This window comes from Homo sapiens, chromosome 4, assembly GCF_000001405.40.
Source record: "Homo sapiens chromosome 4, GRCh38.p14 Primary Assembly".
NCBI classification, from domain to species: domain Eukaryota; kingdom Metazoa; phylum Chordata; class Mammalia; order Primates; family Hominidae; genus Homo; species Homo sapiens.
In genome coordinates, this window is record NC_000004.12 from 147,479,993 (window position 1) to 147,495,576 (window position 15,584).

A 15,584-nucleotide genomic window follows, 5' to 3' on the forward strand; every position below is an offset into this window, starting at 1 on the left:
AAGCCCAAACCACAAGTCTCCACAAGTCTTTGTGGAGAGACGCACGTGGAGAAAAACTAACACTCAACACCAAGCAAGTGAACTGTCTTGGAAGTGGATCCTCCAGCCCCTGCTACATGGAGCAAAAACGAGCTGTCCCAGACAGGCTCTGCCCAAACTGCAGACTGATAAGCAGAGTAAATGAGTGTTGTTATTTTAAGCCACTACGTTTTATAGTAATTTGTTTAGCTGCAGCAGATAGCCGGAACAGCATGGGATATAACATGACCAGTGCTCCAACCTCACACTTCTACCATGTGCTGACTCTAGCAGTGCACTGAAGGACTCCAAGGCAGGCCTTCCCTGAGGAGACCCCAGTTTTTACTCACATGTCACAGGCAGTGGCCTTTGTCCCTCATCTCCTCTCCCACCCCCAATTTAGGATAAAGTATCTGCCGTGATAAAGACGTTGAGACCCACTTTCTGTAAGGTCGGCTTCTTCATTGTTTGAATTTCTTGAGGTTTCACGGAGCCACGCGCTGGAACCTTCCATAGTCTCTCCTGAGGCTCCTTCTTTGCCCTGGGCTGGAGGTCTGTAGCCGTGGGATGCTGGCTACAAGGGACAAGATAGAAGCAAACCACCTGATCCAGTAAACTGCTGTCCACTTCGGCTCCTCAACGGCCTCTAAGCTTAAGAGGGAGCACGCAAGCCAAGCAAAGGCGGCAGGGAAGACGGAGAAGAAACCACCCGTGGGCCCTGGCTCTGTGTCCAGTTGTTCCGTCACAGATCAAATCTGCCTGCACTAAGAGGATGGGTTCCTCTGCAAGGCCTTTCGGAATTCTGAGTCTTGTCTGTCAAACTCTACCCTCTCTCCTCCACATCCCCCACCTTTTCTTTCAGGAAGGAAATAGTTAAAAAAGACTCCTGCCCTTCAGGGCCTGGAAGGGGGCGGCAGCTTTGTGCTTTTTAGTGGCCGCGTCCCAGGATAGCTGGAAGGTTAGGACGCTCTTGCGGTCCCAGAGTGGAGTGGAAGGTCTGGAGCTTTGGGAGGAGACGGGGAGGACAGACTGGAGGCGTGTTCCTCCGGAGTTTTCTTTTTCGTGCGAGCCCTCGCGCGCGCGTACAGTCATCCCGCTGGTCTGACGATTGTGGAGAGGCGGTGGAGAGGCTTCATCCATCCCACCCGGTCGTCGCCGGGGATTGGGGTCCCAGCGAGACCTCCCCGGGAGAAGCAGTGCCCAGGAGGTTTTCTGAAGCCGGGGAAGCTGTGCAGCCGAAGCCGCCGCCGCGCCGGAGCCCGGGACACCGGCCACCCTCCGCGCCACCCACCCTCGCCGGCTCCGGCTTCCTCTGGCCCAGGCGCCGCGCGGACCCGGCAGCTGTCTGCGCACGCCGAGCTCCACGGTCGGTGCAAGTCTTTCTTATCGGGGACTGGGACTGGGGCGGGTGCGGGGATGGCGGAGACGCTGCCTGGGCCCCTCGGTCGGGAGAAGACGAGAGCTGGGAACGTTCTGGCCCGACCGCCCTGCAGCTTGGGCGACCCGTCGCAGCAGGGGCTGGCACCCACTTGCCCCAGGGCGCGCGGGGAGGCGGGCGCCTTCCGTGAGGGGTGCGCTGCGGACACGTGTAGAGTTCGGGGAACTTCACCTCTCCACGTTAGGGTTTAGGATTCGGAGTTTTAGGAAGAGGAAGCCCAATAGTTTTCCCTGGGTGACCCCTTTTCCCCAGGCATGCAAGAACTTTGAGGAACGCCAAGCTCTGTGGCTTGCTCCAGCGCCTTCTTGTGAAGTTGGCTCCACAGCCTTTTCTTACTGGCTTGCTTTTCCTCCCCCACATCTGGGTCTGGGTATGCCAAGGGTAGCCAAGGGCACTCGGTGTGAGGGACTGAGGTGTTTGGGGAAACCCCCTGTGTAGCTAGTTTTGGAAACCTGCCTGTGGAGGTCTGGGCGTTTTGTTCTGTGCTCGCCTTTAAAGGACACTTGTTGCTTCTCACGTGCAGAAAACAAGGGCTGCTTCTAGATAATCACCCTCTGTTTACATCATCCTAATGGCTTTCCCCTGATAGAGTTGGGGGTGGGAGGCATATTAAACTCAGGCGTTGTCTCTAAGGAGAGTTGCTCATTTCTTAACCAGAGAGCAAAACCTCAGAAAACTTGTAAAAAGTTCCTACTTTTACTTGTTTTTTCCTCCACCTGTAGTTGTCTATGTGTTAGCTAATTGAGAAACACCTTGGCAGTCATTTCATGTAAATTGAATGCTCTAAACTCATGCCATTTTGATAAGGTCTGAATTTCCAAATTACCAATTACAGGTGAACTTTGATCCTGAGAGTCTCATATGTTAAATGGTTAAAGTGTAAGCGTAAGGATTCAGTCCTCTTTCTTAATAATAGTTTTTGCACTCCCCAAACTCTCAGATTCCAAACAGGAAGAATGCTGAATCTATAGACCATGTCCTTCAGGTCTGAACCTGAGATGCTTCACTAGCGCTATGACTGATTATGAGTGATGATTCAAAGCACAGCCTGACTCAGATTCCTGGAAATGAGCTACAGACCCACCTTGGAAGAACCTGCAGTTGAGGGGCTTCTTTCATTTGGTTTTGTACTTTTCAGCCAATGATAATATGACATCCACAGGCCTTTGCCAAGTATCCCTTAGTTTTGCAGCTTAACATGTGTGGAGAGCTGATAGAGAAGTCATCAGAAATGATTTCTGTAGTGGTGTCATTGTTGGAGGAGGAAGGAAGGGGGTTTTAATGATAGCTGGCTCTCATGCCTTAAGAACCCACAGCGTTGGCCTTACCTCCTGGCATAATCAGCTAACCAAGCAGACCAGCATGCTAACGTTCAAAGCACCACAGGACCTCTGATGAGTAGAGCAGTACCCACCGTAGCCAGGTCAGTTCACAGGTCAGTTCCCAGCCGACTGTAACCGGCAGAGAGCCATTCCATTTCTGCAAAGGCCTTCTCTCTCTCATTTTTAAGAAAGCTGTTATTGAAGGTTCCCTTTCATTTGGGAAGCTGGAAGACGTTAGTCACGAAACAGCACAAGATATGAAAGTATTTCTTCTCCCCCCTGTATCTGTGATCCAAAAAGGAGGATGACAAGAAGCTTTTCTCTTGGAGTCCTGGTGTTCCCTTTGGAATGGAAATGGTGTCATTTCATAGGTCTATCAATTTTTGGCCAGATACTCACTCCAGATTATAAGAAGCAGGAAAAAACTGCAAACTGTTTATAATTAAGTCTAGTCAGAGCTGACAAATACATGGCCTGCCTCTAGCCTTGAAAAATTGATATTTTTCCCATTTAATCAGAGTGAGTCAAGTCCTATAAGCAAAATTATGTGTCCTGCCATTTCTTGGCTTTGAAACCTTGACCTAAATACTTCTTCAAGACTCTGGTTTCCTTATAAGTAAAATGGAGATATTGCTCCTGCCTACCTAGAGTCGTAAAGCTCAAGGCAGATAACAGATACATATATAATAAGTTACTATATGTAAATACTATTATTATTTCAGAGTTCAGGGGGAAATCTCTGGGGAAGGCAAAAGTATCCAATACTCGCACTTTATATATACCCTATACTTTCTATGCAACTTGAATAAATCTTATTTTATCCACGTATTGGCCAAACCTAAGCTTTACTGATTTCCCAAGATAATTGTCAAAATTCCTAAAAGTGGTTAACATCAACCTTGAATACACTCAGAAAAAGGATTCAATTTTATTTTTTACTTTTTATTTATTTAATTTTTTTTTTTTTGAGACAGGGTCTCACTCTGCTGCTCAGGATGGAGTGCAGTGACTCGATCATAGCTCCCTGCAGCCTTAACCTCCTGGACTCAAGTGATTCTCCCATCTCAGCCTCCCAAGTAGCTGAGACTACAGGCACACGCCACCATGCCTGTCTAATCTTTTTTATGTTTTGTAAAGACAGGGTCTCACTAAGTTGCCCAGGCTAGTTTCAAACTCCTGGGCTCAAGTGATCCTCCTGCTTTGGCCTCCCAAAGTGCTGAGATTATAGACATGAGCCACCACACCCAACCAGGACTCAATTTTTTTAAGATTAAATTATGACCTGGGTATATACATCACAGACACGTACACACACCACCGCATAAATCAGATTATGTCTTCATTTGAAGATTCATAAAAGCCTACAGAAAAGGAAATATATAAAATATTGAAATAGGATGAGCTATTTTTAATTATCTTTGATTATTCCTTATTAAGGTCTCCTAGACTTCCTGGACAGGAAGGACCACTTGCTCTCTGCAAGTGACTTAAAAATAAATAAATAAATAAATAAACCACACCAGATGGTCTTTGAAAATGTCTAACCACCCTCCTGAGTCTATTGCTTCATCTAAACTCTGGAGACTTCTTTAAAATATTTTACATACAAATAAAGCACAAGAATGAGAGACAGGATGGTTTAGTGGTTAACAGCTCCGGCTCAGAGTTGGACTGACCTGCCTTAGAATCGCAGTGTTGCCACCCATCACCTGTGGCCTTGACAAGCTGCTTCACCCTCCTGGGCCTCTGTTTCCCTATCTTCAAAATTGAACCGTGGATCTACCCCACAGGACCATTGTATGGATTACAGGGCATCATGCACATATAGTACTGAGTACAGTGACTGGCATAAAATAAATGTAGCTATATAGGATGGTTAAAAGATAGCATGGGGACAGGTGTCCCTTGGAAACCAAAATACTATGACTAGCCTGGAAAAGTTCATTACTCCCATTTCATTCATCGGCAAATACCGTATTGTGATGATAATTTCTGAGAAATGAAAAAGCAAAAAAACTCCTGTAAAAAATTTAGATTTTACACATTAATCATCAAGGTTTTCAAAACAAATGTTTTTATCAATTATTTCATTCTTAATTGAAACTAAAATTGTTAGATGTGTTAATGGTGTTAACCAGAGTTCTCATTAACATTTCATAACACTTTAGATGGCTACCTGTGCTGCACTTCATCCCTATGTTCATTATTTATCATATGCAAGACAGCACACATTTTAGAAGATTCAATTTTTACATTCGATAATTTTATTTTATGCCTCAATACCCTGTACCCTTTACTCAGCATATAATGCCTTTTCTCTTTCATTAAAAAATATGTTTGTATCTCAACTCTTGAAGATTTTTGTAATTCAGGTTCTTATCAGCCTGAATGTAGAGAAAGAAGTAACTACTACTTAAAGGAAAAACTGACATAGCCTCATCCATATTATGATGTAGATATAAGTATAGCTATGTATAGAGATGAGTGAGAGAGACAAAGCTAGAGAGATAGGGAGATGGAGATAGAGCTAGAGATGGAAATAGAGACAGAGATAGATAGCTATAGAGACGGAAATGGAGACAGAGACAGAGACGGAGATGACAGAGATGATGGAGATGATGGAGATGGAGATGGAGACTGACATAGAGGAGATAGAGCTTGCCCTAATAGAGCTTCAGTTTTTTTCTGGTTTTGCTCTGTCATAGGGTAACCTGATATACATATATCTTATCTAATCACCAAATATATCCTGCATTTTAATTGAATCAATAAATAATCATTGACTATGATCTTTTTGGCAACTGGGTTTTGGAACAAAAATTATTTTTCCTTTTGTTTCAGGTGAAAAAAAAGTGAAGGTGTAAAAGCAGCACAAGTGCAATAAGAGATATTTCCTCAAATTTGCCTCAAGATGGAAACCCTTTGCCTCAGGGCATCCTTTTGGCTGGCACTGGTTGGATGTGTAATCAGTGATAATCCTGAGAGATACAGCACAAATCTAAGCAATCATGTGGATGATTTCACCACTTTTCGTGGCACAGAGCTCAGCTTCCTGGTTACCACTCATCAACCCACTAATTTGGTCCTACCCAGCAATGGCTCAATGCACAACTATTGCCCACAGCAGACTAAAATTACTTCAGCTTTCAAATACATTAACACTGTGATATCTTGTACTATTTTCATCGTGGGAATGGTGGGGAATGCAACTCTGCTCAGGATCATTTACCAGAACAAATGTATGAGGAATGGCCCCAACGCGCTGATAGCCAGTCTTGCCCTTGGAGACCTTATCTATGTGGTCATTGATCTCCCTATCAATGTATTTAAGGTAGGAAGTAACCACAAATGTATTTGCAAATTTAAACCCATGCTCTGATTCCACGTGGAGAGTTGCTGCAGACTTTTCTGACCTTTGGAATTTTATCTGTGTTTTTACTGAGAGCTATTTCTGCTGTCTTCTAACTACTAGTTTTAAGATTTACAAATTTTATTATCTGTCTTATGTTACACTTAGTTTCTACCTTAATTGTAACAAAATAGTATTTCAGGGATGATGGTTCAAAATCATGGTGTTTCATGACTTGGATTCTCATGCCACCCCTGGGCTTGCTGGTTGGATAGGCTGTCTTGGCAAGATCCCTGGATTTTTATGAAATGCAATTTCCAGAGTGAGAGCTACTAGGCCCAGAAAATACTTGAAACAAACATATCCTTGAGTTTAGTTACCGTTGAATATGATGCTGTTCAGAAGCCAGATATCTACAGTCCAGCTTGAAATGAATTGTATTTATTTTATTTTGACTGTCTAGATTAATGATTAAAGCCAAAGGGCATCCTGGCTTTTCTCAGTGATATGGGTGACTTAGAGATAATGGGGTCCACATGATAGCAGGCCACTGTTGACCTTGCTGAGCAGCATTACTAACTAATACCACTTAAAATTTGCCTGCTTTACTGTGGTCTCCTTCATTTCTTCAGTCTGCATTTATTGAGCACCCACTGTGTGCCCACCCCTGAGCTAGGCAGTAAGGAACCAAAAAGAAACACAACAAAGTCAGTGCCTCAGTGTGAGAGGAAGATAACTAACCTTGCTTACAGACTGTATTAGGCCATTTCTACATTGCTATTAAAAAAAAAAAAAAAAGGCTGGGTAATTTATAAAGAAAAGAGATTTGATTGGCTCACAGCTCTGTAGGCTGTACATGCATGGCTCCAGCATCTGCTTCTGGTGAGGGCCTCAGGAAGCTTCCAAATATGGCAGAGGGAGAAGGGGTGCAGGCACGTAACATGGCAAGAGCAGGAGCAAGAGAGAAGGGGGCAAGGCACCACACTTGCAAACCACCAGATGTCTCGAGAATCACTCACTAATGCAAGGACAGCACCAAGCCATTCATGGGAGATCTGCCCCCATGAGCCAGACACCTCCCACCAGTTCCTACCTCCAACATTGGGGATTACATTTCAACATGAGATTTGGAGGGGACAAACATCCAAACTATATCAGAGACTACTTAGACCCAAAACAAACTAAAGCCGAAGGAATTACATATTCCATATTTGGTCTAGTTGTTGGGAGGGAAAAATTGCTGCAAGAATTCAGATATACTAAAATTCAAATGAAATGGCCTGATCTATGCCAGATTTTATGAAATGTGTTTATTCTAAACCCAAGAAGAGTATTTTCCTCAGCCTTGTTTTTTCCTTCTATGTATTATGCATAGAAAGCAACTATTCTAAGAGGTAATATTCTGAAATATTACTTTAAATGGCAAGTTTTGTCAATTGAAGATACAACACATTTTAAGTAAAACAGTAATCTCTCAGTTTCCAATAAGTACACTTAAGCTGTGGTTAAATTATATTACCCTAGCAGAAAAATCAGTGGTCTGATAATATAGATGAAAACAATGGTTACAATTTTGACATTGCAAATAAAAACTTCCCAAAATTACACCAGTACACTGTTTCCAAAATTGAAGAGATTAGAGAACAAACAATCAAAAAATTACCATCTCTTTCCACAGGATAGCATAAATACATGTGTTTTCTATTAGAGCTTAAAATAGGAATTTAGAACTAAACTATGATGCAAAATTGAAAATGTGTAATTGATTTAAAATGTTTAGCATATGCTACATAACTTTAATCTTTTCTTTTAAAAAGTTTTCTCTTTATGATATACTATGTGCACACAACCACTTGACTTTCTCCTGACATTTCTCCTTAATGATAAATTGGAAAATTCAAATTTTGACTCTTCAGCCATCAGAGTGTGGAGTATCAAACATTGATTATTCAAACTTATGAACTAGTGAACCAACCCATCATGGCTCAAGAAAATAATTATCCATCTCTGCATTTATAACTCCCTGCTGCTGTTCACCCTGAAGCACACTATGTAGACTTGCCATGTGCAAAGCAGCTTCTTAGCCAATCAATATCCACAACTGCTGGGAAGGATACCTGCTTATCTCTTTGCGGTGCTACTGCCAATCACCAGACTAAACATCATTTCTATTCCATGGCAACGTTTTAAGTCAGACCATCTGGAATGTCTCCAGATTTGGTAAAAATGCAAATAAAACTTTGCTTTACATTCACCTAGCAATGAATAAAAATTAACATATTCTTATTTGACCATATTGTTCTCCCCTCCTGGGAATCCAATACTTTGTATACCTTACTGTAGTTCTAAATAATGTGGACAGTTTGACTGGTACTTTTACATCATAGGTAGGAGTACATTTGTGTAATTCCTGTTTTTCCAAAACTCGTAATGAGTCATTTAACTATCATTAATTTTAGAAAGTAAACCTTTAGGCTAAAAAAACAAATACTCTTTAGTTATTTCAATCTTTTTCCAGAGGAAAAGAGAAAAAAGCACTGGAGTGTGCTAAAAAGGCTCACAGTATTTAGGAGCAATCGCCACATCTTTCTGTCATCCTCTTCTCTAGGTCATGAGATCATACATGTTGCTATTCTTCTGACTTCTAAGCAGGATACTCAAGAGATCCTTCCAAGCAATGTGAGTCACAGGCCCCCATCCCTTTCCCCCATAGCTGCCTCCCATAGTAAAATTCTGTGGGAGTCTGTCACATATTAAACCTATAGATTCCTCTAACCATATCAAGTTCACTACCTCTGTATTGCAGGGCAAGGTAGCAGCTGTCCATCTCACTTTACCATTACATTTATGTAGCTATGAAAATAATGCATACAATTGGAGAATATTCAGTTAAAGGGATGTGTGAGCCTTCTTTATTTCCCTATTAGAAGGATTAGGTTGAAAGAAGAATAAATAGTTGAAAGTATCTAATATGCTCTTCAAAGAAAGATGAGTTTTGAATCACACCTATTTTTGTGTTTAACAATTATATTAATTGCTTTTCTTTTTTAATTTGTATAAATTTATGGGGTGCAAGTGTAGTTTTGTTACATGTATATATTGCATAGTGGTGAAGTCAAGGCTTTTAGGGTATCCATCACAAAAATAATATACATTGTACCCACTATGAAATTTCTCATCATCCACTCTTAGTTGCTTTTATGCTCAGTTCTAAGGTGTCTCCAGACAGACAACATTGCTTTGAGTCATATCAGAGTCAGCATAAGTGGAAGTAGACTATTTAAAGATTGTATTAATATCTGAGGCAAGCTAGAATTACTGATAAGACTGTAATAATGTTACAAGAAGAAGAAGAAGGCACTATAAAGTATTCTTCCTATTAACGTTTTATTCCCTTTCTCTCACTTTGAAAAAGATTGTACTGAAACGGTTTCATAGAGCAATGTAATATAAAACACAACTGAAAAGTAACATAACAGGTATCAAACAGCTGGGCTGTTTCGGATGTCATTAACCTGTGTAGCTGATGCTTGGTGGCTCTGGATGGCCTGTGGCATGGAAGGTGGGATGGGGTCATTCCACCCCTAAATTTTCAGAAATTTCTTAATTTCTTAATTGATCTCCCTATCTTCAGAGCTTCTTCCCCATAACATATCCGGGACTTTGCTTCCATCTGTCAAGTGCCACTGCTTCTAAAAAAGCACCCAGGAGCTCCCACCTGTCCCCCTTTTCCCCCATGTTTAGCAATCAAGGCCCTCCACACTTTGGCCATACTTCACCTCCTTCCTACTAATTCCCAAAATGCATGGCTCAGCTCTGTCAAAATGCTATCACTACCCCCAAGGAACATACTTTGCCCTAAATAACATTCTCAGAGAGACTGAATGTAGTCACCGAATTGCTGCTGCTGAAGCATTTACAGATCCTAGTTTGAAAAATGAGTTAGGCCTAGAATTATATATGTTGCATCTAACAGAAATAACCCAAAAGATGAAAAGAAGTTCCTATAGCCCTTGCTTACATACACTCACACACACACACACACACACACACACACACACACACACAACCTGATGATAAAAGAAACTCAGCAATCTAAGAAAGTAAAATGCAAGGCAGAAGGAACCAAGGCAAGCCAATGAATGCCAGTTGCCTTCTTGGTTTTGAAACACAATGGCCTTGCAAATGCTAATGTTGAAGAAAAAACTATTTCTAAGATTATCAAAGGATAACTGATTTTTAGTTGTTCAAAATAAGGATAATATTACTAATTGCAGTAGAAGATTGACAAAAGCAGGAAGGAGGAAGGGAAAGGAGTTAGCAGATTTTTTCATATACCCAAGCTTATAACCCATACTGCTGGTGGATTCATTCTTGTCAATAAATTACATTATCTGATATCCTAAATTTTCAAGAAAAACAAAAACTTAGCCAAGTAAATTAATCTGTACATAGGATATTTACATTTGTTAGAATGGCAAAATAGTTAAAACATTGTCTCCATGTTGGGAGACTGAAAATAACCCCTGATTACTAGATGACAAAATAGATAAGTATAGAATTTAATAATTATATTATTTAATGATTCATGAGATTACATGTATGCCATAGAGTGTTGTCCATAGGGAGATGGGTTATAATTTTGAACAGAGTGGAAGCCCTAAAAGTGATATTTGTGCATGAGCCAAGGCTTGGCACCATGTAGCTTCAGGATAACAGCTCCGCCATTATGCACACACAGACATTTCCATATATCACTGTACCTCGTCTCTTAAGCAGAAACAAGAATGCAGGGAGATGTATGTATGAGAGAGATGGAGTAAGGGAAAGAAGTAAGAGGTACAGTCCAATGGCTTGCCATAGACGCTTTTGACGTGCATAGCAGGGAGTTGATGCCGTGGATAATATGCCACGTAAATCACGTCTCCACTTAGCATGTGGCACAAAGCAGATCTGTGAGAACAACAGTGATAGAAGCCGGTAACTCTGTTGATTACTAATTTTGTCTACCCTAAGCAACCACCCCTTATTGAGGACAACAATGAAAAATAAACACATCTTATTTCTGCATGAAGTTACCACGAATATTTTGCAATGAAAAGTCAAGACTCTCAATATGTTGCTCTGGCAGAGGATCTGAACAATGTGGAAATGAGAGACATCCACATAGAGCCAGTTATCTCCATGTTCACACAGCCTTTGACATCTTGTGCAACTGGGATCCATCCTTCTGGGGCAGCTTTACAAAAGCTGCTTCTTGACATATCAAATCACCACAGCAAATTGTGTCTTAAAAATAAATTGTCACAACTTACAGATTAGATACCTCAAGCATAGTAGATGTTCAGTAATGCTTGTTGTTATGATTTGATTTGATAAGGGCCTTCACTCTTAAATTAACTTCAAATCAGATTAATCTGAGATATTCAAATTAAAATGATGATGAAGGTGGGGGTGGTGGTGGTGATGATGATGATGATTTGTCAAAGGGATTCTTCATTTATAGACAAGGCAGAAGACATTATCAGTGGTATGCATATACTATTCCCCAACTTAGTCAAGTTACCCACCAAATTCCGTATGTGATAAGCATATTTCCCTTTTACCGCATCATCAAGCAAATAAAAACACACTTTTCTCATGTACTCCAAGAATCATGCTATCATCATAAAATTAGCTATAGAAACTGCATTCTCTAAATTTTAAGAGAGAAAATGTGTCCCTTGACCAAGATCTCTATTCCTCACTGGTGCATTGTATTCCAGCTAGATGTTTTCCCATAGGGTAGCTCTGATGCTGCCTCCTCTGTGAGCACCTCTCTTTCCATGCTTTTCCGCTACCTCTCTATACTCCAGCTAACCTGGTCTATCTATCTGAGTCCTTCTACCTGGAATATGGTCCTTCTACCTGGAATATTTTTTCCTCAGGCCTTCTCTGGCTTCTTCCACTTTATTCCTTGGATCTCAGCTTAATCATCTCTTTGGCAAGTATCCATGATCCAAACTGGGTTAGTGCCGCTCCCAAGACCCCCTTTATTAACCCTGTACTGGCACTTAAAACATACTCTATTGTATTTGCCAGCTCCTTGGCCTGTCTGCAAGTTCCTTCAGGCATGCTGCCATCATTCTCATTTATCACTGTATCTCCTGTGCCCAGCTTTAAAAATATTAGGTAAATGAGTGAAAAAAGAAAATGTACTATAGTTGCCTCTGTTAGAATGTTTTTCTCCCATGCAATTCCAGATCTACAAGCAGACCTGCTTATTGAGTTTATTGAATTTCTACCTTTTTTTCTGAAAATCAGAATATCTCAGGGTCCATAAATCTGTGAGAAACTCGTGGGAAGCAGAGCAGCACATAACAGCAAGATGATTTTCCCCTTCCTTTTGTCTTTAGGGGTCAAGAATTCTTGTCTCATGGTTCAGGCATTGTGTTAACTATTTCTGTGCATTCTTTAAGCATAGTTGTAACTGTAGTTTTGATTGAAATATTAACCTATAAGTGATTTGGAATATCAAAATAAACATTCATATCACAGAAGTTTTTTTTTTTTTTGCTCTTGAGAGAATACGAAGTAGGTTGATTTTTCTGCCATTACTATGATATATGTACATTGCAAAACATTATGCTAACTAGCTAGCTTAAGAATATATGTACATATAAAATGACAGAGTGACAAATTTATTAGCCAATTTGCTGTTTGTTATAAGGAAGTTGCTGTCTGGAAAGGCTTCAGAACCCTGTCCAGCTCTACCTCCCCTTCTGACTTTTCGTTTCCTGTGTCTGGGAACCTCATTGCCTTCTCTCATGGTCATGTTAAGTAATTATTCTCATGTGAGGTTACTCTGCTAACCCTCGGCATTTGGCTCACAGCACAGTTATTCCCGCGTCAGTGATGGGGGATGGAAACCGTCCATCACTGCAAGACTGTTCCCATGGCTGAGGAGGGAGAGATGGTTTCAGTCCTGTTCTTGTTAGTAACGTGTTGAGATGTAAATAGATTCATGGCTGATGATGTTCCCCCATCAAAGAGTTCATTTAGCTCATAGGAAGAGTTTGCTATATTCTAAATTTAACATAAAATAATGATGCAGGAAAGTTTTAGGTTTAAGAAAATAATTTTCACATGATACATTGTGTATGCGTGTGTGTGCTTGTGTGTGTGTGTAAATGTTGCTCTGGTTCCAGCATTCTGATCAATAAAAGCAGAAGTTCAGGCCATTTTATCCTGAAGTATTTCTATAGGGTAGTCTTATGAGTTGCTTGATTATTATACAAAGTATATACAGTTAGTATAAAGAGTGTGCAAACTAAAATGAAGGGGGCTGAGGAATCAAGTGTGTTGTCGCTGAAGTTGATTTTGAGACTGGAGTGGTTAAATAAAGGCTGTTCTAAGAAATTCCATCAAAATAAATTTGATATACTGCCAGAAATTCTACAACTGCCTTCTGGATCTACCACATTCTCTTGGGAGTTAGAACTACTGCTTTCTATAGCTACAATTTTATTCTTAACTAGGTCTAGTTTTTATTGGAAAAACTGTCCTAAGATTAAAAGTTAATAGTTGAAATTAAATTTAATAATAAAACTGAATGTGTCATTCAGCATTAATTTTTGGTAGCCTTATGTTTCAATTTGAACATCAAATATTATGTAAAACTGCATGCTCTGAAGCATCTATTTAAATTTGGTACATTTTTGCAGAAGAGCAACCTGGAAAAAAATTAAATAAATAAATTTGGAAGGTTTGAAGCCTTCAATGTTCTGGGGCTCAGGAGCCTAAAATCAAATGTGCCCTCAGAAAGACTTAATATTATTTTAGGTTGTGCACATTTAGAGGTCGCTTCTCAGAACTTAAACACCTCTAAGAGTTTTATTGACACTCTAACTTTTAAAACAACTTCCTTGGAGACTAGTACCAAGAGAGGAAGCAAGTCAAATCTTGCATCTCATACTTGCCCTAAACATGAGACTCCTGTTATTTTAGATCAAATTTATACTAGAAGGCAATAAAGATGGCAACTCATTCACCACTTGTTTACTCAGTAATATAAGGTATTTATTCTCTAGCTGCTCTTCATTTATTCAATAAAGACATTGGGTAAATAGCAGCAAACAAAACAGATAGATATCCTTGCCCTTGTGGATTCTGGTAGAAGAGCAAGACAAAAAGGGAAATAAGTAAGTAAATACATAGTATGTAAGATAAGTGCTAAGTAGATAAGTACAATGGGAAAAGAGAGTGGAAAGAAGAGAGATATTGAGTGGGTGACCTCAATACAAGGTGACAGTTGAGTAAAAGAAGGGATGAAGGAGCAAACAATGCCACTATGTAAGGTAAGAGCATTCCATTAGAGGAAACATCAAGTGCAAAGGCCCTGTGGCAGGAATGTGCCTGGAGGGTTAAAGGAAGAGCAAGGAGGCCATCGTGGTTGAGTGGGAGAGAGAGAGTCGTGGCAAATGAGATCACAAGGATATGAGGGTGGAGCAAGAGTAGGGGAGAGGTAGAGCACATAGGGCCTGATAGCATGGTGACTATATCATCTATTGTCCAAACAGGACAATTTTGAGAGTGAAGGGAGACACTATTATGTCAGGACAATAGGCATAAACCAGGACTGTCCTGGGTAAACAAGGAAAACCTATACACCTTTAAAAGTCTTTGGCTTTTTTCTCTGAATGAGATGGGAAGTTTTTGGAAAGTTATGTCCAGATGAGTGACATGAACTTGTTTACATTTTAACAGGAACATTCTGGCCAGGCACAGTGGCTCATGCTTGTAATCCCAACACCTAGGGAGGCAGAGGTGGGAGGATAGCTTGAGCCTAGGCGTTGGCTGCTATGTTGAAAAGTATTTCCTAAATCAATGAAGGGAAAATATGCAATCTTAAAATATGTTATATATACTAATATATAACATGAGAATATTACCTAAAGTGTAGCGTTTACTCTATGCCAAGCTAAGTCGTATGACCCTCCCAACAAATCTATGACATGCTACTGTTGCCTGAATGATAATATGAAAAAAGTGAGTCCCAGACTGTTAAGTAACTTCCTCAAAGTCACACAGCTAGAAATGGCAGGTCCAGGATTTGGATCCAGCCTGATCCCAGAGGCTGTGCTGTTAGCCAGCCTGCCGTACTGTTCTTCCACACACCTCGTAAGACAAACCTTATCATTACCAAAATGTCATCCCTAACACAAATAGATTTTCAAAGACTGTTCAAAGAAGAAAATCATTTCCTTTATCTTCTCCACTAAATCTAACAGCTTCATTAGTTCCTTCTTTAAGACAGAAGTAACACATTGTAAAGAAAATGTACAATAGATTGCACTCCAAAATAGCATCTATGTTGTAAGTCTTGCAGATGGCCTTGGGACATCTGGTGAACAGGATTTGTGTAGCCTATGTTCATTGTCATGTCAGTGAGGTCAACTGACAGAAGGAGAGCCAGAAA

General features: G+C 40.6%; 1 protein-coding gene across 6 annotated transcripts in view, besides 2 other annotated features; it reads left to right on the plus strand.

Annotated features, from left to right (window-relative positions):
- Window positions 1,105-15,584, plus strand: part of EDNRA (endothelin receptor type A) — a 63,858-nt gene continuing 49,378 nt past the window's right edge. For 4 of the 6 annotated variants that reach the window (NR_045958.2, NM_001957.4, NM_001166055.2 and 1 more), the window contains exons 1-2: window positions 1,105-1,384; window positions 5,620-6,109. Coding sequence is in view for 3 of the 6 variants with exons in the window: in NM_001957.4 (NP_001948.1) it covers window positions 5,690-6,109 (420 nt within the window). In the remaining 3 variants the exon portion in view is untranslated. The remainder of the gene's footprint in view (window positions 1,385-5,619; window positions 6,110-15,584) is intronic. The other 2 variants (NR_148963.2, NR_148964.2) reach the window with 1 other exon arrangement.
- Window positions 1,795-1,894: an enhancer, noted in NCBI's record as "active region_21998". NCBI's record gives its function as "activates an Ori minimal core promoter by ATAC-STARR-seq in GM12878 lymphoblastoid cells {active_cell/tissue: GM12878}" and the evidence as "EXISTENCE:reporter gene assay evidence [ECO:0000049][PMID:35858748]".
- Window positions 1,925-2,004: an enhancer, noted in NCBI's record as "active region_21999". NCBI's record gives its function as "activates an Ori minimal core promoter by ATAC-STARR-seq in GM12878 lymphoblastoid cells {active_cell/tissue: GM12878}" and the evidence as "EXISTENCE:reporter gene assay evidence [ECO:0000049][PMID:35858748]".